The 25523-nt window shown below is 49.8% G+C and overlaps 1 protein-coding gene across 4 annotated transcripts, besides 5 other annotated features; it reads right to left on the bottom strand.

Annotated features, from left to right (window-relative positions):
* Window positions 1-307: 307 nt before the first annotated feature.
* SMPDL3B (sphingomyelin phosphodiesterase acid like 3B) lies at window positions 308-24460 on the bottom strand. Of its 4 annotated transcripts, XM_011541259.3 has the most exons (9): window positions 24216-24460; window positions 17096-17185; window positions 14015-14228; window positions 10298-10395; window positions 6102-6245; window positions 4934-5106; window positions 3596-3776; window positions 3378-3511; window positions 308-984 (listed from the first exon to the last, which is right to left on the bottom strand). In XM_011541259.3, exons 1-9 carry the CDS (start codon window positions 24274-24276, stop codon window positions 622-624), a joined length of 1458 nt encoding a protein of 485 aa, XP_011539561.1. In that variant the 5' UTR covers window positions 24277-24460; the 3' UTR covers window positions 308-621. The 4 variants fall into 4 exon arrangements, with proteins under 4 accessions (XP_011539561.1, NP_001291508.1, NP_055289.2 ...); NM_001304579.2 differs by lacking the exon at window positions 17096-17185 and having other exon boundaries at window positions 10298-10466; NM_014474.4 differs by lacking the exon at window positions 17096-17185.
* Window positions 15166-15666: an enhancer, noted in NCBI's record as "H3K4me1 hESC enhancer chr1:28270305-28270805 (GRCh37/hg19 assembly coordinates)". NCBI's record gives its function as "activates a minimal SCP1, AML or CMV promoter by ChIP-STARR-seq in naive H9 embryonic stem cells {active_cell/tissue: H9 hESC(naive)}" and the evidence as "EXISTENCE:reporter gene assay evidence [ECO:0000049][PMID:30033119]".
* Window positions 15667-16167: an enhancer, noted in NCBI's record as "H3K4me1 hESC enhancer chr1:28269804-28270304 (GRCh37/hg19 assembly coordinates)". NCBI's record gives its function as "activates a minimal SCP1, AML or CMV promoter by ChIP-STARR-seq in naive H9 embryonic stem cells {active_cell/tissue: H9 hESC(naive)}" and the evidence as "EXISTENCE:reporter gene assay evidence [ECO:0000049][PMID:30033119]".
* Window positions 18748-19042: an enhancer, noted in NCBI's record as "tiled region #12823; K562 Activating DNase matched - State 8:EnhW, and HepG2 Activating non-DNase unmatched - State 13:Ctcf". NCBI's record gives its function as "activates a minimal TATA promoter and a strong SV40 promoter by Sharpr-MPRA in K562 cells, with weaker activity in HepG2 cells {active_cell/tissue: K562 | HepG2}" and the evidence as "EXISTENCE:reporter gene assay evidence [ECO:0000049][PMID:27701403]".
* Window positions 23925-24826: an enhancer, noted in NCBI's record as "H3K27ac-H3K4me1 hESC enhancer chr1:28261145-28262046 (GRCh37/hg19 assembly coordinates)". NCBI's record gives its function as "activates a minimal SCP1, AML or CMV promoter by ChIP-STARR-seq in naive H9 embryonic stem cells {active_cell/tissue: H9 hESC(naive)}" and the evidence as "EXISTENCE:reporter gene assay evidence [ECO:0000049][PMID:30033119]".
* Window positions 24333-24598: a silencer, noted in NCBI's record as "fragment chr1:28261373-28261638 (GRCh37/hg19 assembly coordinates)". NCBI's record gives its function as "represses an EF-1alpha promoter that drives an FKBP-Casp9 reporter gene in an ReSE screen in K562 erythroleukemia cells {active_cell/tissue: K562}" and the evidence as "EXISTENCE:reporter gene assay evidence [ECO:0000049][PMID:32094911]".

Genomic DNA, 25523 nt, shown 5'->3' with positions numbered 1-25523 from the left:
AGGCCGGGCGCGGTGACTCACGCCTGTAATCCCAACACTTTGGGAGGCCCAGGCGGGCGGATCACCTGAGGTCAGGAGTTCGAGACCAGCCTGGCAAACATGGCGAAACCCCGTCTCTACTAAAAATACAAATTAGTCGGGCGTGTTGGCGCGCGCCTGTAGTCCCAGCTAGGAGGCTGAGGCAGGAGAATCGCTTGAACCCGGGAGGCAGAGGTTGCAGAGAGCCGAGATAGCGCCACTGCACTCCGGCCTGGGCGACAGAGCGAGACTCCGTCTCAAAAGAAAAGAAAAGGAACACAACACAGAATCAAACGCATGATGAGCTTTGTTTTGTGAGTTAAACATAATACGCAAAAGAAGTATGCTTGTAGGGGGGTCTTGGGTCGTCATTTCTTTTCTGTTTCTGGTTTGTTTTTGGAGAGAGTCTGGCTTTGTCACCCAGGCTGGAGTGCAGTGGCGCGATCACGGATGGCTGCAGCTCCTGGGGCTTCGCTTCCTGATTCGGTTGTCCTATTTCAGTTCACTCCTCAGGCGCGGAGGAAATGGTGGAAGGCCCAGCTCTGGGTGATCCTGGGCGCTGCCCCCGTTACCCGTTACCAGGAAGAAGGTGAGCCTGGCAGGTCACAGCACGAGCGTGCACAGGCCCAGCAGGGCCATCAGCAGCAGCGGGAGCTGGGGCACGGGCGTGGTGCCAGAGGCATACAGACAGGTGGTGTAAGCGTCAATGTCCACCTGGCGCATGGCACACACGTGCTGCATGCTGCAGGCCTCGTCGCAGACCCCAGCAGAGTAGCTGACTGAGTTATAGACGTAGTAGCGCTGCAGTGTGCTCTGGTCGCCAGCGATGCGGTCCAGCACTGTGTGCATGGAGTGGGCGCTGGCGTCCGGCACCCCATAGGCCTCGGTCAGCTGGTACTCGAGCTCCCAGCGCGGCGTCCCCTGAGCATTCGCCTGGCTCAGGTTCATGAAGTAGGTCACCATGTCCTGGAAAAAGGGTTTGGGGTAGACCGGCTGTGAGCAGTTGTCTGCTTCCATCCCCATCCTGCACCTTGCATTTGCCCCCAAGTTCTTTAGAGCAGTGACCATGACCACTAGTAGTTATTGAGCACTTAGCTGTGCACCCATTGTGCTTGGCAGACATCCTCTGAATCGAATGAGGTAACTGCGCTTATTACCTAGGTTTCACAAATGAGGAAACTGAGGCCTAAAGAGGTTAATTCACTTGGCCAGGGTCATACAGGTATTCATACAGGTATTCAGTGGTAGCAGGATTGGACCCCAGGTTTACCCCAGGTCCCACCATGCTAGGGTACACATAGAAGACGCTCAGTAAATATTTACATAATGAATAGATAAAAGCAACATAAAAAGAGCAACACTAAGCATGAGAGAGATTATGAACTGTAGACTCCTAGGACCCAGGTGCATGTTCACGGCTAGACTCTGCAGGGTTCATCAGTCCAGCGGGTTCCAGGTACATTTATGAACCTGCTTCAGGCCACTGCAGACGGGGTAAGAGGAGCTGCCCGTATGCATGGCCACTCTGTGCCAGGAACATTCCATTATTTCATGTAGTCCTCCTCAAACCCTGCGAGGTTCTGTTACTCCCATTTTACAGATGAAGCAAGTGAGGCACAGAGGTCAAAAGATCAAAAAGCTTATGAGTGGTGGAGCCAGGATTCAAGCTCAGGGCTGACTCCCTCCCTGAGGAGAATGGAGGGCCTGTTAGGGGGTGATGGTGCAGCCTGCCATTCCCCTTGCTCAGACCCTTGGAGTGCCCATGTGGACAACAGGCCACTCTTTAAACCCCTCAGACCTCTTCTTAATCTACCTTTACTAGAATCAAGGACCTGGGTTAGCTCATGCAGTCGTTGGCTTTAAATGTCCTCTCTCCACTCCCAGATCACATCTCTATCCTCACCTCTTCAAGCTCCAACTTGCCCCTTCCCTGTCCACTTTCACTTGATGCCATTTAGCCCTCCCAAAGGTAACAGGTCCAAAACAAGACCTCTGACTGACCCTCCGAAGCCTGATCACCCTGCCACTTATCTCAGTAATCGGCAGCCACAGCCTACCGTTGCACAGGCCAAGAGCCTTGGAAGCCTCCTGGATTCGTCCCTTTTTCTCACAGCTCATATCCACTCTAGCAAATCCTGCATCCAGAATTCATCTGGGACCTGGCACTTTTCACCATCTCACTGCCTCCACCCTGGGCAAGCTACTATCCTGTCATCTGGGATTTGTCCTTCCCTCCAAACGGCCTCACTGCTCCCCCACCTGCCCCTACAGCCTGTTCCCTGCACAGCAGACATGATGATTCCATAAAATTATAAGTCACAGGATTTCATTCTTCTGCGCAAAACCCTCCAAATCCAGAGTCCTCATGGAGGCCTGCAAGATCGGACCTCCCCTCCCACTCTCCCCTTGTGCCTCTTACTGTGGCCACATGGCCTCCGTGCTCTTCCCCTAACCTACCACGCACATTCCCACCCCGGGGCCTTTGACTTGCTGTTCCCTCCACCTCCCCAAGATACCCACTGGGCTCCCTCCCTCAATACACTCAGAACTCAAATGGCACCTTATGTGGACACTTCCCCTTCCCACCTATCTAACACAGTACACACCTCCCATAGCTGTCACCCTGTCGCCTCACTGTTTTGATTTTCTCCTTAGCCCTTCTCTCAGTACTATAATTAATTCTACATATTTATTGTCCCTCTCCTGTAAGATGTCAGGTCCAGGAGAGGGGTGACTTTGTTTTTAAATTTACATATCTTCTGAGATTAGAACAGGGCCTGGCCAATGGCACACACTTAATGCATTTTGTTGGATAAATAAAGGAATAATATTTTTCATCTCAACAACCACAAGCTCATCCTACGAGGTGAGGGACTGCCCAAAGAATTAGGGGCTGGAGCCTCGTCTGTGTACGGAAAATGTGGACAATGGGCTTGAAGTCAGACTGTGGGAAGCCTTGAGTACTAGGTCAAGGAGACACAACTTTATCTTGAAGGCACTGGGGAGCCACTGAAGGTTTTTGAGCAGGACGGAGACAAGATGAAAGTGGTGCTATAGGAGATTAGTTTCTTCTCTCTTGTGTAGCGGATGGGCCATAGCAGGGCAGGGCCAGAGGCAGGGAGACCAGGTATGAAGCTGTGACAGTCATCCAGGGGAAAAGGTGACTTGGTGAGGCACTGCCCTGACTCGGTGGCAGGTGCCTCCAGGGTTCTGATCCTGAGCTGGAGAAGGGTGGAAGGAGCTCAACCTTCCTGAGGCTCAGTGGTCAGGGGAAGGTGGATAAGCTGAGAGTGAGGGAAGGTGGTGATGCATTTAAGCCCCTCCCACCCTCCTCCTCTGGCCTCCGCAGGACTCCTGACCTTCAGGCTCAGTGTGGCTCGGTCATATTCGAACACCCGGATGGCTGGATTGTTGGCCCCATTGACCACTCCAGGTAATGTGGTTTTCCATGGGGTGACTCCAGGTGTGATGAACATGGCGCTTATGGGGACACCTGTCAGGAGAGAGACAGCAGGACTGAGCGGGTCTGGGGAGAGAAGGAGGGAGGGAGCTGGCAGTTGCCCTCCAGGTTGAATACCTGCATCATCATAGAGCATCCGAAAGCTGTCGGTGTGGTGGTGCCCGAAGAACTGCCCTGCTATGACGCGATGATGCTTCCGGACCACCTTCAGGTATTTTTCATTGAAGCCCTCCCGGAACCATGCCTTGTTTTGCGTCTTCTCAAAGAACCCCGGGGGCACGTGGCCGACAATGTACACCTACAAGGGAGGGGTTCCCAGAAGAGGCTCACAGATGCCCTCTCCAGACCCTCATTTCTACTTCTCAAAACCTGCAAATTGCCCCAAAGGCAGGTAGACAGGCCCAAATGTATCTCCTCCCTGAAGGCCTCCCGGATTCCATGTCCCACTTTCTCCCTGTGCCCTGCAATGAATGCACCACATACCTTCCCACCTCTGTGCCTGCCACCTGGAGTACCCTTCTCCTTTTCACTTCTGTAAATCCTCCCCACACTTCAAAGAGCACCTCCCCCATGAAGCTTTCCTAATCCTTCAAAGACTACTCTTCTCTTGGAGAGCTTGAACACTGCAACGAAACCATTCTTGCGTGGTTGTGTGATATGCTACACGGTAATGTGCATTCGTTTCTTACATTCCTTGAGTCACTCATCTGACAACACCTGGGCACTTGGCCACCATGGCAGGAGTTAGAACAGGGGACAGAGTTAAATGTATGAGTTTTGGAGTCAGACTGCAGCTTAGACACCAGCTGTGTATCACCTCTCTGAGCTGCTGTTTTCTCATCTGGAATAGCACATAGCTGGTGGGGTTTTGAGAATGATGGACTCGCTACTGAGCCGGGGTTTCCATAGTTCTGCTACCTGAGATCATCCGCATAATGTCCTAAACAACGTGCCCAATGTTGGCATAGTGCATGCTCATGGGCACCAGCTGTGAGATCCTCTTGGGATGGGCTGGTCAGTGCAAGGACTTGGGCAAATGAGACACTGAGCCAGTCCTTGAGGAGCTGTCAGGCCAGCAGGCTAGCTGGACACACTCAAGGGCAGGGCATCCCCTGGAGATCTGGCACACAGTACTGGCTGCAGCTGTGCATGTGGTGGGAGTGGAAAGAGCACTGGACTTGGAGTCTGGTCTTCTAGTCTGGGCTTCGTCACTTATTATGTGACTTGGGACCGTCACCACTCTTTATGAGCCTCAGGGTCCTCATCTGCAGTGGGCTCCAGATCCCAGCACACAGGGCTGTGGTGAGGATGGAGGAAGCCCTCTGCTGGTGCCGGGCTGATAAAGGACCCTCTGGGATATGGGCATCTTTGGGTGGGTGGGTGAGTTTGTGCCAAGCGGGAGACTTGTGCAGGAAATAACCCCAGATGAGAAAAGAAAGAAGCAGGGCCTCTTACCATGTCCCCAGCTTTGGATGCATCGGTCAGCACATCTTCCAGCCACTGGAACTGCTGGCCAGGGTCCGCCATGTCTGCTGTCAGCGCATTGCTGGTATAGTACAGATTGGTGTTGAGGACCACAATTCGCCCAGCCCCGCTGGGACCCGGCAGCTTCTCACAGTAGAAGGCACCTGTCACAGCCAGGGACAATATGAAGGAGGCCCCCACCTCTGGCCAGACAGGCTTCCGCCCCTTCCACCTCAATGTCCCACTTTCTTTTTCCGTTGCATCTTCCCCTCCCATCTTTCCCATGGGTGGGACATCAATCTGGAAGATCAGAGGCTCTGGAGCCAGGCGGCCTGGATTCAATTCCTGGCTCTGGAACTCATTCGCTGTGCAACTTGGGAAAGTAACTTCACCTCTCTATACTTCGGTTTCCTTATCTGCATAGTGAGACTAACAGTGATGTGTGTTTGCCCATCCAGATCCACTGTCGACCCTTCACTGCTCAGCTGTCTTTTCCAAGAGCTGATCTATGTGGACTAAATCAACAGGCTTCTGTGGCACAGGCTTCTGGTCGGCTTTAACCACTGGGGAGTCCCAACAGCAGGAGACCGAGGAAAGGGAAGAGTAGGGTCAAAGTCACCTTGGGCTGGCTGTGTTTCTGAACCAGTCATTCTCAACCAGGTGCTTCTGGCCCAAGAGAACACTGGGCAATGTCTGAGACATTTTTGGTTGTCACAGCTGGGGGTGTTCCTGAGGGTATCACTCTAGTGAGTGTTTGCAACATTCTGCAACACACGTGGCAGTTGTCTGCGACAGAGTTATCCAGCCCATGGTGTCAGTGGTGGCAAGGTTCAAACCTGCTGGAAATGAAACCACTCCTTCCAAGGGTTGTTGTGAAGTGTCTAGGACCAGGCTGAGAGGGCAGTGCCTCGCACACAGTAAAGGCTCAATAAATATGAACTTAGGAGCATCATCAGTGTCGTGGGGTTTAGAGGAAGGGCTTTGGAGTTAATTCTGGAGTCTGCTCCCAAGACTGCCTTTTCTAAGCTGTATGACCCTGGCTTCCTTATCTGTAAATTGGGGATAAAATCAGTACTTATTCTAAGAGGTTGTTGTGAAGACGAAGATCAGACCCTGGCATACAGTAAGTGCTCTTGATAGGAGCAGGTGGTGTTGGTACCTTTTTTGAAGAGAGCGATGGACTCATTACTAAGCCAGGGTTTCCATAGTTCTGCTATCTGATTGTAGATGTTGTTACTTCCAGCTGGGAACTGGTTTTTGGGGTGAAAATCATGATTTCCCAAAGCAGCATAGACTTTAGTATCTAGGAAGAAAGGGTGAAATATCAAAATATATATGCAAAAGCACTCGGGGGAGTTAATCATTTTCTGTTGGCCACTGGCCATCAGAGCTCAAGGGGAAGAGCGATAGCACAGATGAGGAAAAGACACAGATAGGAAACCCACATTTGATAGAATCTGACTGAACTTTGCTTAGACTTTGGAGGGAAGAGCAGTGGGTTCTTTCATCACAGTCCCTAAACCCATTCCCAGCAGAAAGTTTCCTAGTTAGAAGGAAAGCAGCAGATGATGAGAAGGGGAAAACTAGGTCTAAATGAGTCCGATCGTCATCAGCCACTTGGTAATTTAGTGTTCCCAATTCCTGTTGATTCCAGATCATCTTACTGTTAGGGAAAGGGTCTGCGTCACTCTGGGAGGCCTTAGGAGTTTCACTCATCCATGCAGTCAGCAAGTATCTTATTGAGCACCAACTATGAGCCAATGCATAGAACTGGAAACCAGGCTTCCAGCCCCAGAGGTCCTGCAGTTCAATAGGGTTGACAGGTATTGAGTAGAGGTGTAAGGGATGTCACAGAAAGGGAATGGCCACTTGCTATGGGAGTAATAACAGAGGGTAGGAGTGGGTTTGGGGAGGCCTCCCTGAGGAAGGGGCCTGTGAATGAGGCCTGGAGGTGTAGGGGAACCCATTAGACTCATTTCCTCCACATGAACAGCCTCATTTCTGTTTTTATTTTATGCTCAGTGTCTGGCACCTAATCGGTGCTCAATAAATATTTGACAATCAACAAAAATAACTCTTGGACTCAGAACAGGGCTGGGCCCTTATATGAGCTTAGTCTATCACAGGGAGTGACCTGGAACAAATGAGGGAGGCTGGAGCCTCCCATTCCAGTTGGGAAATATCTCTAACACACCCTTTGCCCTGTACAGCCGACAAGACCTGGAAATGCTGAGAACTCTGCCAAAGTAGGAGGTTGTCAAAACGCATCACTGTAACTGCCTAGAAAAACCTCACCTCTCTAAAGTAAATGCCAGCAGCCATTAAGAATCCATTTAAGAAAAAAAAAAAATCCCTATGAGAAGGGAGGGACTCACTCCTGTGTTTTCACTGCTTCTGTGTGCCCAGCTCCTTGCAAACATAAGCTCCATGAGGGTGCGACCTGGTGTCTTGTTCATTGCCATGTCTTCTACTCCTGGAATGGTGTCTCACCCATAGTGGATGCTCAATAACTATTTGTTGATTGACTAAATGAGTGAATGAATTACCTTATTTAATCCTCATAACAACCCTGTGGACAGGTACCATTATTTTCCTTTTTCACAGGGAGCAGACTGAGTCTTTATGAGATTACCCAGCTAAACCATACCAGAGCTAGAATTGGGCCCTGCATGACAGGGTCTTCCTTTGCCTCCCAGGCTGCAGTGCAGTGGCACGATCATAGCTCATTGTAACCTCAAATTCCTGGGGTCAAGTGATCCTCCTGTCTCAGCCTCCCAAGTAGCTAAGAGTATAGATACACAGCACCACACACAGCTAATTTTTTTTTATTTTTTGTAGAAGCAGGGTCTTGCTATGTTGCCCAGGCCAGTCTCAAACTCCTGACCTCAAGCGATCCTCCAGCCTTAGCTTCTCAAAGTGCTGGGTTTACAGGCATATGATCACTGCACCTGGCCCAGGGCCCTGGATTTGTTTGCCTTGCGTGCCTGTGTTGTCAACCACTTGGCTGTGCTGATGAGGTGAGGACCAGTGTTCACAGCTGACTCTGGTGGGTAAAGTTGAACACAGCAGGAAGAACACATGATGTGGAACCCTGAATCTCGAGTTTCAGTCCCTTCCTCTTCTTAGGCCACTTACTCGACCTCTCTGTACTTCAGTTTAGTTATCTATAAGATGGGAGTGTTCTGCTTGACTTGTGTTTTTAGAATTCTCAGCTAGATAATACCTTCATTTCATCTCTTCCAATTTGTTCTCATAGTACCATCTCTAAAAGTGAGGTGTGGCCATGAGAAAGCGCTGTGTCAGATTATAATTGGTAGCTGTTTTTTCTTAGTTATACATAATGATGCATCTTTCAGTCAATGGCATCTTGGATATTAGGAAATTCAATAAACATGCAAGTGTAGTAGAAACTACAAAATCTTATAATTTACATTTGTGTTAAATCATAGTCAATAGGCCAGGCATGGTGGCTCATGCCTGTAATCCCTACACTTTGGGAGGCTAAGAGAGAGAATTACTTGAGCCCAGGAGTTCAAGACCAGCCTAGGCAACACAGCAAGAACCCCATCTCTACAAAAATTGAAAACAGGCCAGGCGCAGTGGCTCACGCCTGTAATCCCAGCACTTTGGGAGGCCAAGGCGTGCGGATCACTTGAGGTCAGGACTTTGAGACCAGCCTGGCCAACATAGTGAAATGCCATCTCTACCAAAAATACTAAAATTAGCTGGCTATGGTGGTGGATGCCTAGAGTCCAGCTACTCAGGAGGCTGAGGCAAGAGAATCACTTGAACCCATGGGGGTGGAGGTTGCAGTGAGCCAAGATCGCACCACTGCACTTTAGCTTGGGCGACGGAGCAAGACTCAGCCTTAAAAAAATAAAAAAATAATAAAAATAATTAGTAGGGCGTGGTGGCGTGTGCCTGTAATCCCAACTACTTAGGAGAGTGAGATGGAAGGATTGCTTGAGCCTGGGAGATGAAGGCAGCAGTGACCCTTGATTGTGCCACTGTACTCCAGCCTGGGTGACAGCAAGACCTTCTCTCAAAAAACAAAACAGTCAGTGAAGCATTTTCTTACTCATTATTTGACTTGTGTTCCAGAAGCCCCATGTGAAGCAAAGGAGAGGTACTCCCAGTTGGATCTGAGTTTGAGTCCCTCCCTCGGAACCGACTAGCTCGGAGCCACAGGTTCCTTTTCTATACATTGGGAATAATGGTGCCTGCTGTTGGGGTCAGGGGAATGTCCTGGTTTGACCCCTGCTGGAAGACAAAGGAAACCAAGCAGCCTGACTTGGGTTGGCTGGGTTAGATAACCTGGAAGCATCCAGGCATCTCTTTGCCTAGATTGACTTTGTTGAGGAAAGGAAGCAGCGGGAACAGACAGTAAGGGCAGTGCTCACACCAGGATTTGGGCCTCTTAAGTAAATGTGACCTTCACTAGTTTATTTAACCCTAAGGCTCACCTCCCTCATCAGTAAAATTGAGGTCACAGCACCTCCCCCAAGGCTTATGGTGACAGTGAAGGAGCTAAGGCTTGAATATTCTTAGAGCCAGCCTGACCCTTTACACTTGATCTAGAGTAACTGCTGCTAGTGCCATTATTTATTTTTATTATTACTCCATATCTGTGTCCTGGGACCCATGATGAAGATCTTTAGAGGGGGCAGAGGTACTGGAACCCAAAAAAGGTGGGGGTGGGGGCTATGGGCTGCTTTCTCAGGCGCCCAGTTGGCAGCCTGGCAGCCAGATTTAGCCTCCAGGATGTTGTTTTCGGTGCAGACTGCTTTAAAACATTTGCAAGGGCCATCAGATGGGGCACGCAGACCCTATTCACCCTATAGTGTCCCGTAGGGCTGCTGCCTCACTCACCCCCAGTCCCTGCCTGCTCTGCCAGACTCTGAAGTCCTTGGAAGCAACAAGAAACAGCACCTTGGCTGGAAATTAGCATTTCCCAGAGGCCCTGGCAGCCAGGACAGTTTGAGGGTGATGGATGCCAACTCCAGAGCAGGACACAAGGGCTGTGTGTGAGACTCACCCAGGGACGACACCTGTGTGCAACTCTAGACACCTGGAGAAGGGCTCATGAGTCTGGAGATAGGCAGGAGCAGAAGTCAGTGAAAGGCTGGGCATTTCCTTTGATAGGATTCTGTGTGTATCCACCGGCCCATGGGCTTGCATGTTGCCTTCGGGCTTGTTAGGAAGGTGAGAAATGGTCACCATGAAGACCTGGCCAACAGCCATCGCTGTCCATGGATGAAGGTCAGCCAGGACACTCGCTGCTGCTGTTGTCCCACTGTGCCAGGCAGTGCCTAGAGTTCCGAGAACACTGTGGAGGGACTGATGGCACAGTCTTACCTGGAAAGACCTCTCTGATGAGCTTGGTCAGGCGTTCCACAATTTCCAGTACAGCTGCCTCTCCCAGTTTCTCATCGGGCACATGAGGCGTGTCATCACTACAAAACACCACCAAGCCAATTTGGGGCAGGCAACTCAGGAAGCAGCAGAAGAAAAGGAAGGGACAGCTCTGCAGTGAGAGGAAAACCTATGGACCTGGGCCTCAGATGTCCCCTTGAGGGGGAATGGCCAGGCTAGAGTGGAGTCAGATGGGACAGAGCTGAGAACTAGGCTTTGCCATTTTCCTGCTGTGGGTCCCTTGATTGGCTGTTTAACCTCTCTGAGCCTCTATTAACTCATCTGTAATGTTGGGATAATACAGTTCTTACTCACAGAGTGTTTGTTAGGTATCCATCAAGGAGGAAAATTATATACATAATATAGTACAGTAAGAGTAGCTGCTAGGTTGTAATGAATATTATTATTTAGAGAGGAAAGCTCTGGAGTTCCAGTCCCATCTGCAAACCCCGAGGGAGCTCAGGGTTGAGAAGCCATCTCTGAATTCTGTTCCTTTCCAGAAGAGTTCAAAGGAGTTTGAAGCTGGCTTCAAGTGTAGGGTTCAGATCTTTTCCAGGGCAGATACTGATTCTGCCCTGGGACCACTGTGCCCTTCATGCCATGAATCAAAATTCTTGGGTCCACCTTAGAAATGCTTGGCAAGGGGAGGAGAATGGTGGCAGGTGGAGTGTAGGGATGGGGAGACGTCCGGACAGTCAAAATCCTGGGGCCTCTGCTGCCCAGGTATTCCCCCAGGGAAACTAATTAGCATAATAGTATTAATACTGCTGCTAGAAGCTCACACCGGCTGACTTTCTGCCAGGCACTTTCTGTGTGTTGTTGCCACAGCCACTAATTTTTTCCCCATTATAACACTGCAATGTAAATTCTATTATTAGTTTAGGCCCGTTTGACAGATAAAGAAACCAAGACACAGAAAAGTTAAGAATTTTGCCTATCCTAAATCAAGCACCAGAGACACGGGGGAAAAATTGTACCTAAGTGTACACCACTAGAAAGTGGTGGGGCCAAGATTTGAGCCCAGTCAGCCTGGCCCCAGAGTCTATGCTCACAGCCACTGCATCCTATAGTGTCTCTGATACCCACATTAGGGCAGCAAGAGGGGCTGTTTTGCCCTGAAAACTCCCTGGGGACAGGCCGGAAACCCAAAGACACAGGGACAAAATTTCATATTTTTAATTTCTAGGTTAGAGAATCTAATTCTGTCTGATAAAAAACACACCTAGGCCGGGGGCGGTGACTCACGCCTGTAATCCCAGCACTTGGGGAGGCCGAGGCAGGCGGATCATAAGGTCAGGAGTTCGAGACCAGCCAGGCCAATATGGTGAAACCCTGTCTCTACTAAAAATACAAAAATTAGCCAGGCGTGGTAGGGGGCACCAGTGAGCCGAGATCGCACCACTGCACTCCAGCCTGGGCGACAGAGCGAGACTCCATCTTAAAAAAAAAAAACAAAAAAACACCTAATTTCTTTTTTTTTTTTTTTTTGAGATGGAGTCTCGCTCTGTCACCCAGGCTGGAGTGCAGTGGCGCAATTTCGGCTCACTGCAACCTCCGTCTCCCAGGTTCAAGCGATTCTCCTGCCTCAGCCTCCTGAGTAGTAAAACATACCTAATTTCTAATGGCCATCCTCAAAGGGACTGCAGCTCTCTTAGAAGTCAAATTTTATTATAATTGAAGAATTGTAAAGGGTCCTAGAGATCTTCTCATCTGATGCTGTGTACCTCTTCAAGGTCTCAGAGATTTCCCAGGAAAAAAAGGTGCAACTGTGGCCGGGTGCAGTGGCTCACGCCTGCAATCCCAGCACTTTGGGAGGCTGAGGCGGGCAGATCACCTGAGGTCGGGAGTTTGAGACCACTCTCACCAACATGGAGAAACCTTGTCTCTAATAAAAATACAAAATTAGCCGGGCGTGGTGGCGCATGCCTGTAATCCCAGCTACTCGGGAGGCTGAGGCAGGAGAATCGCTTGAACCCAGGAGGCGGAGATTGTGGTGAGCCAAGATCACGCCATTGCACTCCAGCCTGGGCAAAAAGAGCGAAACTCCATCTCAAAAAAAAAAAAAAATGTGCATCTGTTAAAGGATCATGAATTTCCTGAGGGATCCCATCTGTCTGAATGCTACACATGCTCTCCCTTCTCGGAGAAATCAGAAGCTCCCCTCAAGGGAGCAGGCCCAAGGTCATGGACCAAATCTCACTCTCTTCTTAGATTGATTCCTGAGCCCAAGGAAGCCAGAGCTGTCCAGGCCCCTCCTGAGACAATGTCACATGTCTTCTTATGTGTCCAGCCTGGCAGGTTCATCTGAGGGTCCTTCCTGGTCACACCCACAAACCACATCACAGCTAGGGGCATCATGGGTTTCACCCTGCCTTATAGAAGTGTCCACTGAGGCTGGTAGAGGGAGCGCAAAGTCAGAATTCCTTCCAGCCTTCCTCGAGAGCTCCCCTGCTCCACCACCTCCTGCAGGATGTCCTTCCCCTAATCCTGCCAGATGGGATCATGTGCCCTGTGAAGTTCCCACATCCCCCCAGGTGACTCTCTCTCCTTGCTTGGATGTAAGGGTAGGGTCAATGGGTTTGTCTGCATTGCCCACAAGAACGTGAGCTCCTTGGAGCCAAGTGTGGGTGTCCATCATCTCAGATCCCTAGCATCTACCCCACAACTGAGCACGACTTGTTGCCCTGCCAAGTGAGGGAGCAAGCGAGGAGATGGGGGTATCTTTTTTTCTTTTTCTTTCTTTTTTTTTTTTGAGACAGAGTCTTGCTGTGTCACTCAGGCTGGGAGTGTAGTGGTGTGATCTTGGCTCACTGCAACCTCTACCTCCCAAATGCAAGCGATTCTCCTGCCTCAGCCTCCCGAGTAGCTGGAACCACAGGCGTGCACTACCACGCCAGGCTAATTTTTGTATTTTTAGTAGAGACGGGGTTTCACCATGTTGGCCAGGATGGTCTCAAACTCCTGACCTCAGGTGATCCACTGCCTCGGCCTCCCAAAGTGCTGGAATTACAAGCATGAGCCACTATACCCAGCCGGAATGGGGGAATCTTGAATGATAAGGAGGCAAGTTCCCAGGAAAGTTGAAGGAATTAGAGCAGCAACCTTGGACAGGAAGCAGAAACTGGGTCTCTGCGGCTGAGTGGGATCGGCCCTCAAGCTGTCACTCTGTAGAGCAGAGCTCTGACTGGTGAGAAAATCCAGGACCACTGGGCAGCCCAGGGGTGGCCAGCAGCTGGCCAGGACACTAGGACCCCAGGCTGGGCCACCTTCAGCCCTCATAACTTCTTCCCTCCCTGCACTTGGACCTCTCAGACTTAGAGTCCCTAAGCCCCAGGGGAAATGGCTCCAGTGTCCACCCATAGCTTAAAACCTGGACACTCTCCGGGTGCCCAGGCATGCCAGGACCACGTCCAAAAGCCTGATTGAGAGCTGCGTTCTGCCACAGCCAGGAGACATGGAGGTCGAGGACACAGACTGTGGAATCAGTTGGACTCAGGAATCCCCGGGCAAGTTACAAAATTCCTTTGAGCTTTAGGTTCCTCAGCCTCACGTGAGACTGATGTGAGGATTAAGGGAGATAATGTGGGCAAAGGGCCAGACTGGTATGTAGCACATAGCAGATGCCTGGCAAAGGGTAGCTGCCACCTCAACTGTACTCACCCAGTCCAGAGAATGAAGTCTGGCTCTGGCTCAATCTCCTTCATGGCATAGATGGAGGAGTTGATGAGGGCCCAGGGAGAATCACAGAGGTAGTCACCCCAGGGGCCTGCGTCGGGCACTGGCTGGGATCCAGCTGATGGGCACACCTGGAAGGGGTCTTTGGATACCTTGTAGTCAGGGTCAAGGTGCAGGTCAGCGATGTGCCAGAACTTCCCTGCAGGGGAAAAAACATCCTCCTTCAAAGCTGGTCTCTCTCTCAGCCTGGAAGCAAGGAAGTCCAGGGGAGCCCTGGGCTGGGGCAGGGGCGTTACACAGGCAAATGGAAGTCTTCTCTGAGCACCCCGGGTTCAGAGAAAAGGCCCACAGGCCTGGCTCTGCCCAGGGACACATTGAGCAGAGCACAGAACAGGCTCAGCTCCATCCCTGAGCGCTGACCTTTGGCAAGGCCCCGTCCTCCTCCCCACATTGGATGGGCAGCCACAACATTAGAGCTCAGGCATTCTAATGAGGGGGCTTGTTTTAAAGCAAAGGCGGGAGAGGGTATGGGTTAAGTGCTCAGGCTCTGAGCCACTTAGGAGCTGTGTGACCTGGGCTATGTCACTTTTCTAAGCCCATTAACTAGAGCCATATCCTCTCATGCTGCAGGGAAATATAACTACATATGAAAATCTGACCTGTCCTGGAATTTCTTGGAAAATTAAAAAAAAAAAAAAAGAAAAAAGTCTGACCTGGATGGAAAAGGCTTACACACCAAATGAGCTGGAAAACCTTGCTAAGCAATACCAGCAAAGCCCGGGTGCAGTGGTTCATGCCTGTAATCCCAGTACTTTGGGAGGCCAAGGTAAGATGATTCTTTGAGGCCAGGAGTTCAAGACCAGCCTGGGCTACATAGGCGGACCTCATCTCTACACAAAATTTAGAAAATTCGTCGGGTGTGGGGTCATGTACCTGTGGTCCCAGCTACTCAGGAGGCTAAGGTGAGAGGATCGCCTGAGCCCAGGAGGTGGAGGCTGCAGTGAGCCATGATCATGCCACTGCACTGCAGCCTGGGTGACAGAGCAAGACTCTGTCTCCAAAACAAAACAAAACAAAAACAGCAAAAACCTGGGGACTACATGTGGAAGTGAGTATAAGAGTACTAGACCAGGGAAAAAGGAACGCCACTTCAGATCGGGCTGACCTCCTCTGGTAGGTATATTTGCTGGTGATTCTGGATCCAAGGTGTGGCTCAAGCAGCTGGGAGTGGTCCTGCTTGCTGAGGTGATTGACCGAAACCTAGACTCAGTTTCCGACCAAAGGAGGCTGAAGTGGCAAAAAACTTCACAGTGTAATAAAGAGAAAGGAATCCAAAGAAACAGGTGAGATGGAGTAGACTTCTCATGCGAACCCAACACGGCCTGGCACAGTAGTTTCTTTTTTTTTTTTTTTTTTTTGAGACAGAGTTTCGCTCTGTGCCCAAGCTGGAGTGCAATGGTGCAATCTCGGCTCACTGCAACCTCTGCCTCCTGGGTTCAAGTGATTCTCTGGCCTCAGCCTCCCAAGCAGCTGGGATTACAGTCATGCGCCACCACGCCCAGCTAATTTTTTTTTTTTTGTATTTGTATTTTTAGTAGAAATGGGGTTTCGCCATGTTAGCCAGGCTGGTCTCAAACTCCTTGACCTCAGGTGATCCGCCCGCCTCAGCTTCCCAAAGTGCTGGCATTACAGGCGTGAGCCACCGCACCTGGCCAGCACAAGTTGTTTCAATGACTGCTTACTGAAGGAGGGTTGAGCAGATCTGGCCTCTGTTCATCCTGTTTCTCGATAAAACAAGAATGACGCCCAGGATTTCCTCACCCTCTGCTATTGCAATCACTTCCTCCCCCATTTCTTGTGTCACCTAGAGCCACAAGTCAACATCACTGGCCCCAAGAAGCTGTGTCTGGGCCTGGGAGACTGGACTTCTTTTGATCTCAGGGTTGGATAGCCAGGGCCCCACCCAGGCCACAGGACATTCAGTGGACAGCCTGCAGATAAAGGCTGGCCCCTGACCCTCACTCCTTGACTTTCCCTCCCAGATGCTCTTGAGCTTTTCCCCACCTCTCCTGATCTAAACAGTCTCAGGAAAGGATGTGAAACACATTCATACTAAAGTGTAAATGGCTGATTAAGCAAATCATTATCCCTCCCACATGCATTGTTACAGTGTTCTCCGCAGAGCCCTGGGAACATTATCCCACTTTACAGATAAGGAAACTAAGGTCTGGAGGTCAACATGCCTAAGATCACATGGTAAATGATGGGGATCTCTGGGCTCCAATCCCTCCCAGGAAGATGTGATTGTGAAAGGGGTTAAAAACCAGTGCCTTTCTATTTTAGATGGGTCTTTTTGTTGACAGCATATTCCCACATTTTTATTTTTTATCCAAACTGAGCCTTTGTTTATAATGGGGAAAATTTAACCTTTCCACACATATTGTGATCACTAATATATTCCTGCCAGGCATGGTGGCACAGTGGCTCACACCTGTAATCTCAGCACTTTGGGAGGTTAAGGCAGGAAGATTGCTTGAGGCCAGGAGTTCAAGACTAGCAGGGGCAACAAAGCAAGACTTCGTCTCTACAGAAAATAAAATTCAGCCAGGCACAGTGGCTCACGCCTGTAATCCCAGCTACTCAGGAGGCTGAGGCAGGAGAATTGCTTGAACCCAGGAGGCGGAGGTTGCAGTGAGCCGAGATTGTGCCACTGCACTCCAGCCTGGCGACAGAGCGAGACTCCATCTCAAAAAAAAACACAACAACAAAAAACAAAAAAATAGCCAGGCATGGTGGTACACTCTTTTAATCCCAGCTACAGCTACTTGGGAAGCTGAGGCAGGAGAATCGCTTGAACCCAGGAGGCGGAGGTTGCAGTGAGCCGAGATTGCACCACTGCACTCCTGCCTGTGCGACACAGCAAGACTGTCTCAAAAAAATTAAAAAGAATACAGTGACAAAACCCCAAGCCAGAGTAAAGGAATGAACTGCCTCATACCAGTTAGTTGGTGGGCAGAGTTGCTGGGCATCCCAAGTCCCTGAGCTGAGACCGTGAGTGGCTCTCACCTGCTTCCAAGCCCGGAGCCAGGCTGGCCAGGATGGATGTTGGGGGAGGCCCTTTGCCTTTCTCTTGGGCACATGGTCCTTGCGCTTCCTCTGCAGACAGAGAAAGAGGCTATTCCCCTGCCTCAAGCTGGCTCTTTCTCAGTTAACTACAAACACTGAGCAGTTTGGCCCCTTTGACGTCAGCCCTCAAAGTATTCAGGAACATTTCTCCACTCCAGAAACTCCTCATCTCACCTGTCAGTTGTCGTTTTCCAGCCAGTGTGTAGAACTGAAACTACTTTCCAGCCTCTCTGGCACATACTGCTGAAGGGTGTGTGTACATGCATGTGTGTTTATGTGTGTGTGCGTGTGTGTCTGTGTGTGTGCATGTGTGTGTGCTGACTCCAGGAGAGGCCAGGCTAGTGGACAGAATGGTGGAGAGAGCCAGAGGTCCAGGCGGGCAGCTCCACCTCCTTGGGGTCCAGGTGGGCAGCTCCAACTCCTTGGGGTCCAGCCTCCTCATTGTGGGAGTGCAGATCCCAGCGACCTTGTCAGCTCAGCCCAACCCACCACCCTCAGCCAAGCTGCTTCTCCTCACAGGGCCTCTTCCCTGACTACGCCATGGCCTCGCCCAATCTTCCCACATCATCATGCGGCTGCCTCCTCCTCATTCAGGCCTCTGCCCCAAGGTCACCTCCTCAGAAGACTCCCCTGACCACCTCATCTCAAGTGCCACCTCTCCTGCCTGTCTGGTCGCTATTTCTTCCCCAGCTTCCTTTTTCTCAGAGCACTATCACATGTGAACTTACCTTGTTGGCTTGCTTATTGTCCATCTTCCCTGTTTACAATGTCAGTTCCATGAGAGCACCAAGCCCGTCTTGTTTACCTCTATGTCCTCAGTGCCTAGAAGGGTGCCTGGGACGTGGAAGACGTGCAAATGCACATTCGATGAATGAACAAGGCTGTGGGGAGGCCAGTTAGAATTGTAGGCACTCAGACAGTGTTGGATAGGTGCCCAGACTTTCATACACTGGTCTTATTTCATCCTGGCAGCCAGTCTGTGAGATAGGGATTCTTATGCCCACTGCATAGATAAGCAAACTAAGGCTCAAACCCAGACCTCTCTGACCCCAAAGCTGAGACACAATGTCGTCATGCCTGTTGACTTGGAACCCCCCGCCGCCCAGAAGGTGGCTGTAATAATAAATACATGCTTTCCATAAGAATATGGGATCCATCAGCTTCCAGGCCCTACATCAAAATAATTAAGCTCTAATTAGCATGTCAGGACCATGGATGGGGAGGTGGGAGATCTGGTTTCTAATCCAGCCTCTTCCATGTGTTTGCCTAGGGGCTTTGGGCAAGCCACCAGGCCTCACTGAGCTAGAGGATGTTGACATCTGGCCTGCCTCTCAGTGAGCATCAAATAAGATAGTGAAGGAGAAAGGGCTCATAGAGGACAATCCCAACGCACCATACCGTTACCTGCAATTACCCCTTGGGCCAGGAGTGAGACTGGGGAGGTGTGGGCGCCTGGGTACTTTAATGCTTTACCCTTTAGACCAGAACTTCTCAAATGTTACTGTTCAGATGCTTCACTGGGGATCTTGTTAAAGTTAAGAGGCTTTCTACATTCGCACTGCTTGGACCTTTTACAGTAAGACAGTATTCATCTATAACTTGAGTTTTATAGAAAGGTACACCAATCTCAGCTATCATTATTATTCATTTATTACTGAGAAGATAAATAAATTTGGTATTGAGTACAGTGAGTAGCTGAGGCCACAGACCTGGGAGGGAGTCCTACTGCACCACCCCATAGCTGTGTGAACAGCGGAACCTTCCCCTGGGCCCGTTTCCTCCTCTGTAAAATCAAGATAACAGCGCCCCCTACCCCTTGGGGCCCTCGTGAGAATTAAAATGAGAAATGTGAGATGATTTCATAAATGGGAAGCAGTGGTTACTCCACATTTGGTTCCTGGGGGGTTCTACAAGGCCCCCTCTCACCATGAGAGACAGGACAAGGTGGGGAGTGGCCACGTTCTACCCAGCCAGCCCCAGCGTGTCCTTGGCTACTGTCCACAGGTAAAGTGCAGGGGCAGGGCAGGCAGGACATCTGAAGGGAAACAAGATGAAGATAGAGCCTGTCTGCCCCAGATGACCATCTCTAAGAGGAGGACTGGTGGGCACAGCGCGTCCCTGGGCAGGCAAAAAGTGTCCTGGCCCGCCTCCTCCTTCACCAAAGGGGATCACCAGGCCTTTATGCTCACTAGGGACAACAGACATAGGGCCCAAGGCCTCATAGCTCTGCAAGGCCCACAGAAATATCTGAGACTTGGAAAAAAATGCATTGACTCTAAAAGTGCAGGAAAGACAAAAATTACAAATATCAAGTAAGTCATCAAAATCAACAATTCATTTCAAAAGCAATATTAAAAATCTCATGGGCCACATGCATTGGCTCACACCGGTAATCCCAGTGCTTTGGGAGGCCAAAGTGGGAGGATCACTTGAGGCCAGGAGTTCAAAACCGTGCCTCTACAAAAACAAACAAACAAACAAACAAACAAAAACAAACAAACAAAAACCCAGGCTGGAGTGCAGCAGTGTGATCCTGGGTCACTGCAGCCTCAACCTCCTGGGCTCAACTGATTCTCCCACCTTAGTCCCCCAAGTAGCTGGGACTACAGGCACGTGCCACCAGGCCTGGCAAATTTTCTTGTACTTTTTTGTAGAGGTGGGGTTTGCCATGTTGCCCAGTCTGGTCTCAAATTCCTGAGCTCAAGTGATCTGCCTGCCTCGGCCTCCCAAAGTGCTAGGATTACAGGTATGAGCCACCACACTAGGAATGCAGGTATATGCCACCACACTCAGCTACTTTTTAAAAAGAAATTTAATTTCTCCGTACTTGGGAGGCTGAGGCAGGAGGATCCCTAAAGTCCAGGAGTTTGAGGTTACCTTGAGCTATGATTGCAGCACCGCACTCCAGCCTGAGCAACAGATAGAGACCCTGTCTCCAAAAAAGAAAAATAAGATAAAAAAATTAAAATCATACATGATATGGGATCTTTTTAGTATGATTTGTGATAGGGGTGGGGAGAACTCCCATAGTCATAGTCATTTATAAAACCTAAGTTCTTAAAATGGCTAGAAGGTGAGTTCCCTTATGGTTGGAGACAGGGGGGCAGGAAGGCATCTGCCATTCATTTAGCACCTACTGAATGCCAGACACTGTGCCACACACTCTATCCATGCAGCCTCATGACAACATTATGAAATGCATCCTAAGATGTACTCATTTTACAGATGAGGAAACTGAGCGAGTGAGCGGCAGACCGGGGATGCCGAGCACGTCAGAATGGAAATGATCACAGTGCACTATATTCTGCCACCACCTACCAGCATGGCCTTGGAGATATATACAGGTTTTCCTTGACTTACAATGGGGCTACGTCCCCCAAAATTGAAAATATCATAAGTCAAAAATGCATTCAACACACCCAACCTACCAAAGGGCATCGTAGCTTAGCCCAGTCTACCTTAAAGGAGCTCAGAACACTTACATTAGCCTACAGTTGGGCAAAATCATCTGATGCAGACCTATTTTATAATTAAGTGTTGAATGTCTCTTGCAATGTATTAAATACTGAATTGAAAGTGAAACACAGAGTGGTTGTATGGCTTCTCGAAGTGTGGTTTCTAATGAATGCCTAAGGCTTTCGCCCCATCATACAGCTTAGTGGAATCTTCGTAAGTCAGGGACCATCTGTGTGTATGCCTCCTTAAACTTTTACAACATTTTACAATGTACCTGGCATGATCTCACTTAAGGCCATCACATTTAATCTCTCCTCTGCTAACATCCCTATTTTATAAACAGTAAAATAAAGGTTGCAGGTCACACAGGTATTCAAAGGCAGGACCACAGGTAGGACCTAAGTTTTCTGGCTTCAGGCAGTAAGTTATTTCTGCAAGGACATGCATGAAACCTGCAATCAGGGACATCTTATTTTGAATCCTGGCTCTTCCATACAGGCAGTGGCAACTTAAGCAAGGGATTTTCAGAGCTGAGCCTTAGTTTCCTCATCTATAAAATGAGGATTAGAATGCACCCAGCAGAGGGATGCTTGTGATGCAGAGCAGGTGAGCCCCAAAGTGGAGCTTAGCCCATGAGGGTTCTTGGCTTTGCCCAGGAAAAAATTCAAGGGCAAGCTTGAGGTTGAAGCAAACAGCTTTGGTGAACAGGTGATGTACAGCTCCATGACTGCTCCTGCAGAGCAGGGCTACCCCAGAGGCAGAGAGTAGCAGCTCAGGGCAGTTTTGCAGTCACATTTATACCCACTTTTAATTGCCTGGAGATTAAGGGGCATTTATGCAGAAATTTCTAGGGAAGGGGTAGTAACTTTTAAATCATTGGGTTACTGCCATAGAAGGGGCAGTAACTCCTGGGTGTTGCCATTGCAAAGGTAAATTGACATGCCACACTGCTGGGTGTGTTTGAAAACTGCTTTTGCCCAGGCCGTATTTTAGCTAGTCCTCAATCTGGTCTGGTGTCAAAGCCCTGCCTCTGGAGTCCAGTCCCACCTCCTGCCTCAGTTGTGCAGGTAAAAGAGTTCTCTTATACAGAGCACCTGGCTGTGGGGTGAGCAAGGCAGCCTTAGGACTCATTCCCTGGGCCACACTGCCCCTCAGCCTCCGTTTCCTCAAGTATAAGATGAAAGTACTGAACAGAGGTTCCCTGAAGGCCCTCCTAGTCTGACTCCTGTGATTCAGTGGCTTTTGTCTGTTATTGCCTATAACCCACACCACACAATGGTCTCAGTCTCTATTTCAGTCCTTTGCTATTAAGGCTAGCATTAGCCCCAAAACACAATTGTAATTCATCCTTTGTAAATGGAGGCCCTCCAAAACCCATGGAGTTCATTTGTTAAAACCTACATTTACGGACCACCTACAGTGAATACCCTCTGTTCACAATAGCTCCAGAGGTAGGTGTTACCATTCCTGCCCTGGTCCTGCTCCCTCAGCCCTGGGCTGGCCTTCCAGGGAGTGTTTTCCTACCAAGCTAACCCACAGGGGAAGAACCTGTCTGCTTCTCTGCAGTTAGAAGCTGAGGAAGGAGCGAAATGTTACACAGGACATGTGTAGGAGGAGAAGGAGCCAGCAAGTTGGCATCCACCCAAGCTCCTGGCTAAGGAAAGTGGAGGCAGAAATCCCACAGTTTAATGCAAAGCAGGGATGATGCTGTCTGATCCCCTGTCTCAGAATCCACCTGTGCTTCAGGAAGACACCTGGAGTTGGAAAAACCTTACAGGTGCTGCGGAATTCCTTTTTTTGTTGTTGTTTGTTTGTTTGTTTGTTTTTTGAGACGGAGCCTCACTCTGTCGCCCAGGCTGGAGTGCAGTGGTGCAATCTCGGCTCACTGCAAGCTCCACCTCCCGGGTTTACCCCATTCTCCTGCTTCAGCCTCCCAAGTAGCTGGGACGACAGGTGCTCATCACCACGCCTGGCTAATTTTTTGTACTTTTAGTAGAGTATTTTTAGTTTCACCGTATTAGCCAGGATTGTCTCAATCTCCTGACCTCGTGATCCGCCCGCCTCGGCCTCCCAAAGTGCTGGGATTACAGGCGTGAGCCACCGCATCCGGCCCGGAATTCCTTTTAAATTTACTTTAAAAGGAATACATTCCAGCAAGTTTGGAGAAAAGAGAAAAAAATAGTACCTCTAAACCCCACCATCCCAAGAGGACATGAAGCATAGTACAGCCAGGCACAGGCTTTGTCCTGCCATTTCCCAGCTGGGAGATCTTCAGCAAGTGCAATGTCCCCTCTGAGACTCATTTGCCTCATCTGCAAAATGGGTATAATGATATTAGCACCTACTTCAGAGGGGCTATAAAGAGAATTTTTTTCTTTCATTTTCTTTTTTTTTTTTGAGATGGTCTCATTCCCGTCACCCAGGCTGGGGTGCAGTGGCACAATCACAGCTCACTGCAGCCTCAACCTCCCAGGCTCAGGTAATTCTCCCAGCTGAGTCTCCCAAGTAGCTGGCACTACAGGCACCCACTACCACACCCAGCTAATTTTTGGTATTTTTAGTAGAGTCAGGGTTTTGCTATGTTGCCCAGGCTGGTCTCAAACTCCTGGACTCAAGCAATCCACCCTCCTCAGCCTCCCAAAGTGCTGGGATTACAGATGTTAGCCACTGCGTCTGGCCTCAAGGGTCCTTTTAAACATACAGAAGTCAGAATAGATTACACCTGTGCCTAGAACCCTCCAATGACATCCCATTTCACCCTGAGCAAAAGCCTGCGTCCTTCCTATCTACAGGCACGTGGAAAGAAAAATGTCTGAGTCCTCAAGAGAGTCTTCGAGGCTATCCATGATTTGGCACCTGCCCCACCCCACCATCTGCCAACCTCACCCCCACTTGTCCTGCCCACCCTGCTTCAGCCACGCGGGCTTCCTTGCTGTTCCTCATGCACATCTCCTGTGTGTCCACCTCAGACCCCGTGCACTGTCCTCTCTTCCTGTAATGTTCTGGACACCCATGTGGCTCCCCCACTCACTGCCTCAAGGCTCCACTTGAGTGTCACCTGATTTGACAGCTCTTCTCTGGACGTCTTGTAAGTACCCCCTCCCCACAACCCGCCTTCCCTGTTCTACTTTATTTTCCCCATAACACTTATCATCTCCTCCAATGCTGCGTACTTTACTTGTTCGTGTGGTTTGTTTTTTTCTCCCCAGATGAAGGAATTCTTCATTGAGACGGGGACTTTCTTTTCTTCTCTGATATATCCCTGGCTCCTAGAATAACGTATGGTACAGGAAAGGACCTCATTTGTTGAATGAGTCCACGAATCTTTCCTGCCACCTCCTACCTCTACTAATTAGCTAGCTCTCACGTACCCAGACCTCTTCGCAATGTCGGTGTCCCTCCCTGGCCAGCTGGCGCCTCCACTTAAAATCTTCAGCCTCAAACAGCACTTGCTAAGGCCCACTAGCTCTCCCCACCTGCCTCCCTGCCTAGCTCCTGCCTTGCTATCTTTAGAAGCACCTTCAAGCTGGCTGCGAGCAGCTTCCCGCAGCCCCAGAGTTCACAGTACAAAACAAAGGCATAGCAGACATTCCCAGTGCTGTACCTGGTTCAGCCCTGGCACCTCCCCAGTTAGCCAGGAAAATCAGCCAGGCGAGCAGCCTCATCCTCGGGGCTCACTTCCCCAGAGCCGTGGGATTCTCAGGCACTGTTGTTGTTCTCACCACAGGCTTCCTAAGTAGTTTTCTGTGGCCACGTGCCTGAGCAGAACTCCTTGTCCTGTTACAGGTGTTCCAAGTCCTCCAAGGCGTCTGGATCCTCTGGCTCTTCCTCCTTTGCCCAGCAGGGTATGATCTGGGCTGGCCCGAGGAGGCAGGCATACCGGACCCTTAAGTGGAAGCCACACCTCTCCTGCCAGTGCAGCCCCTGCCCCCAAGAGGGAGGGGCAAACAACAGAATTGCCGGTCAGCACATCAGGTGTATTGGCAAGCCCCGGAAAGGGGGATCTAATTCAGACTGAGGAATGTGAGAGGGCTTCTAGGAGGGGGTGACACGTTTAATCCTTTCTTAACATTGTATTATGGAAACAGTCAAACAGAAACAGGAGAGAGAATGGTGTAATGAACCCCCAAGTACCTTCCTCCAGCTTCAGTAATTATGAACTTATGGCCACTCTTATTTCATCTATACTCACTTTTGATTATTTTATGTATTTAAACAACTTTTTTTTTTTTTTGAGACGGAGTCTCATTCTGTCACCCAGGCTGTAGTGCAGTGGCACCATCTCAGCTCACTGCAAGCTCTGCCTCCCGGATTCACACCATTCTCCTGCCTCAGCCTCCCGAGTAGCTGGGACTACAGGCGCCCGCCACCACGCCCGGCTATTTTTTTGTATTTTTAGTAGAGACGGGGTTTCACTGTGTTAGCCAGGATGGTCTCGATCTCCTGACCTTGTGATCCACCCGTCTCGGCCTCCCAAAGTGCTGGGATTACAGGCATGAGCCACCGCGCCCGGCCCTATTTAAACAACTTTTAAAATTTTTTATTATTTTAACTTTTATTTATTTATGTATTTTTTTAGAGAAGTGTCTCAGGCTGGGTGCAGTGGCTCATGTCTGTAATCCCAGCACTTTGGTAGGCTAAGGCAGGAGGATCGCTTGAGCCCAGGAGTTTGAGGCCATCCTGAGCAACATAGTGAAACACCATCTCTACAAAAAATAAAAAAATTAGCTGGGCATGGTAATACATGTCTATAGTCCAGCTACTTGGGAGGCTGAGGCAGGAGGATCCCTTGAGCCTGGGAGGTAGAAGTTGCAGTAAGCCAAGATTGCATCATTGCATTCCAGCCTGGGTGATAGAGCAAGACTCTGTCTCAAAAAAAAAAAAAAAAAAAAAAAAGAAGGGGGTTGTCTCA

This window comes from Homo sapiens, chromosome 1 (genome assembly GCF_000001405.40).
Source record: "Homo sapiens chromosome 1, GRCh38.p14 Primary Assembly".
In the NCBI taxonomy this organism is placed as follows: Eukaryota; Metazoa; Chordata; class Mammalia; order Primates; family Hominidae; genus Homo; species Homo sapiens.
This window is presented reverse-complemented; position numbering and strand designations above follow the sequence as displayed.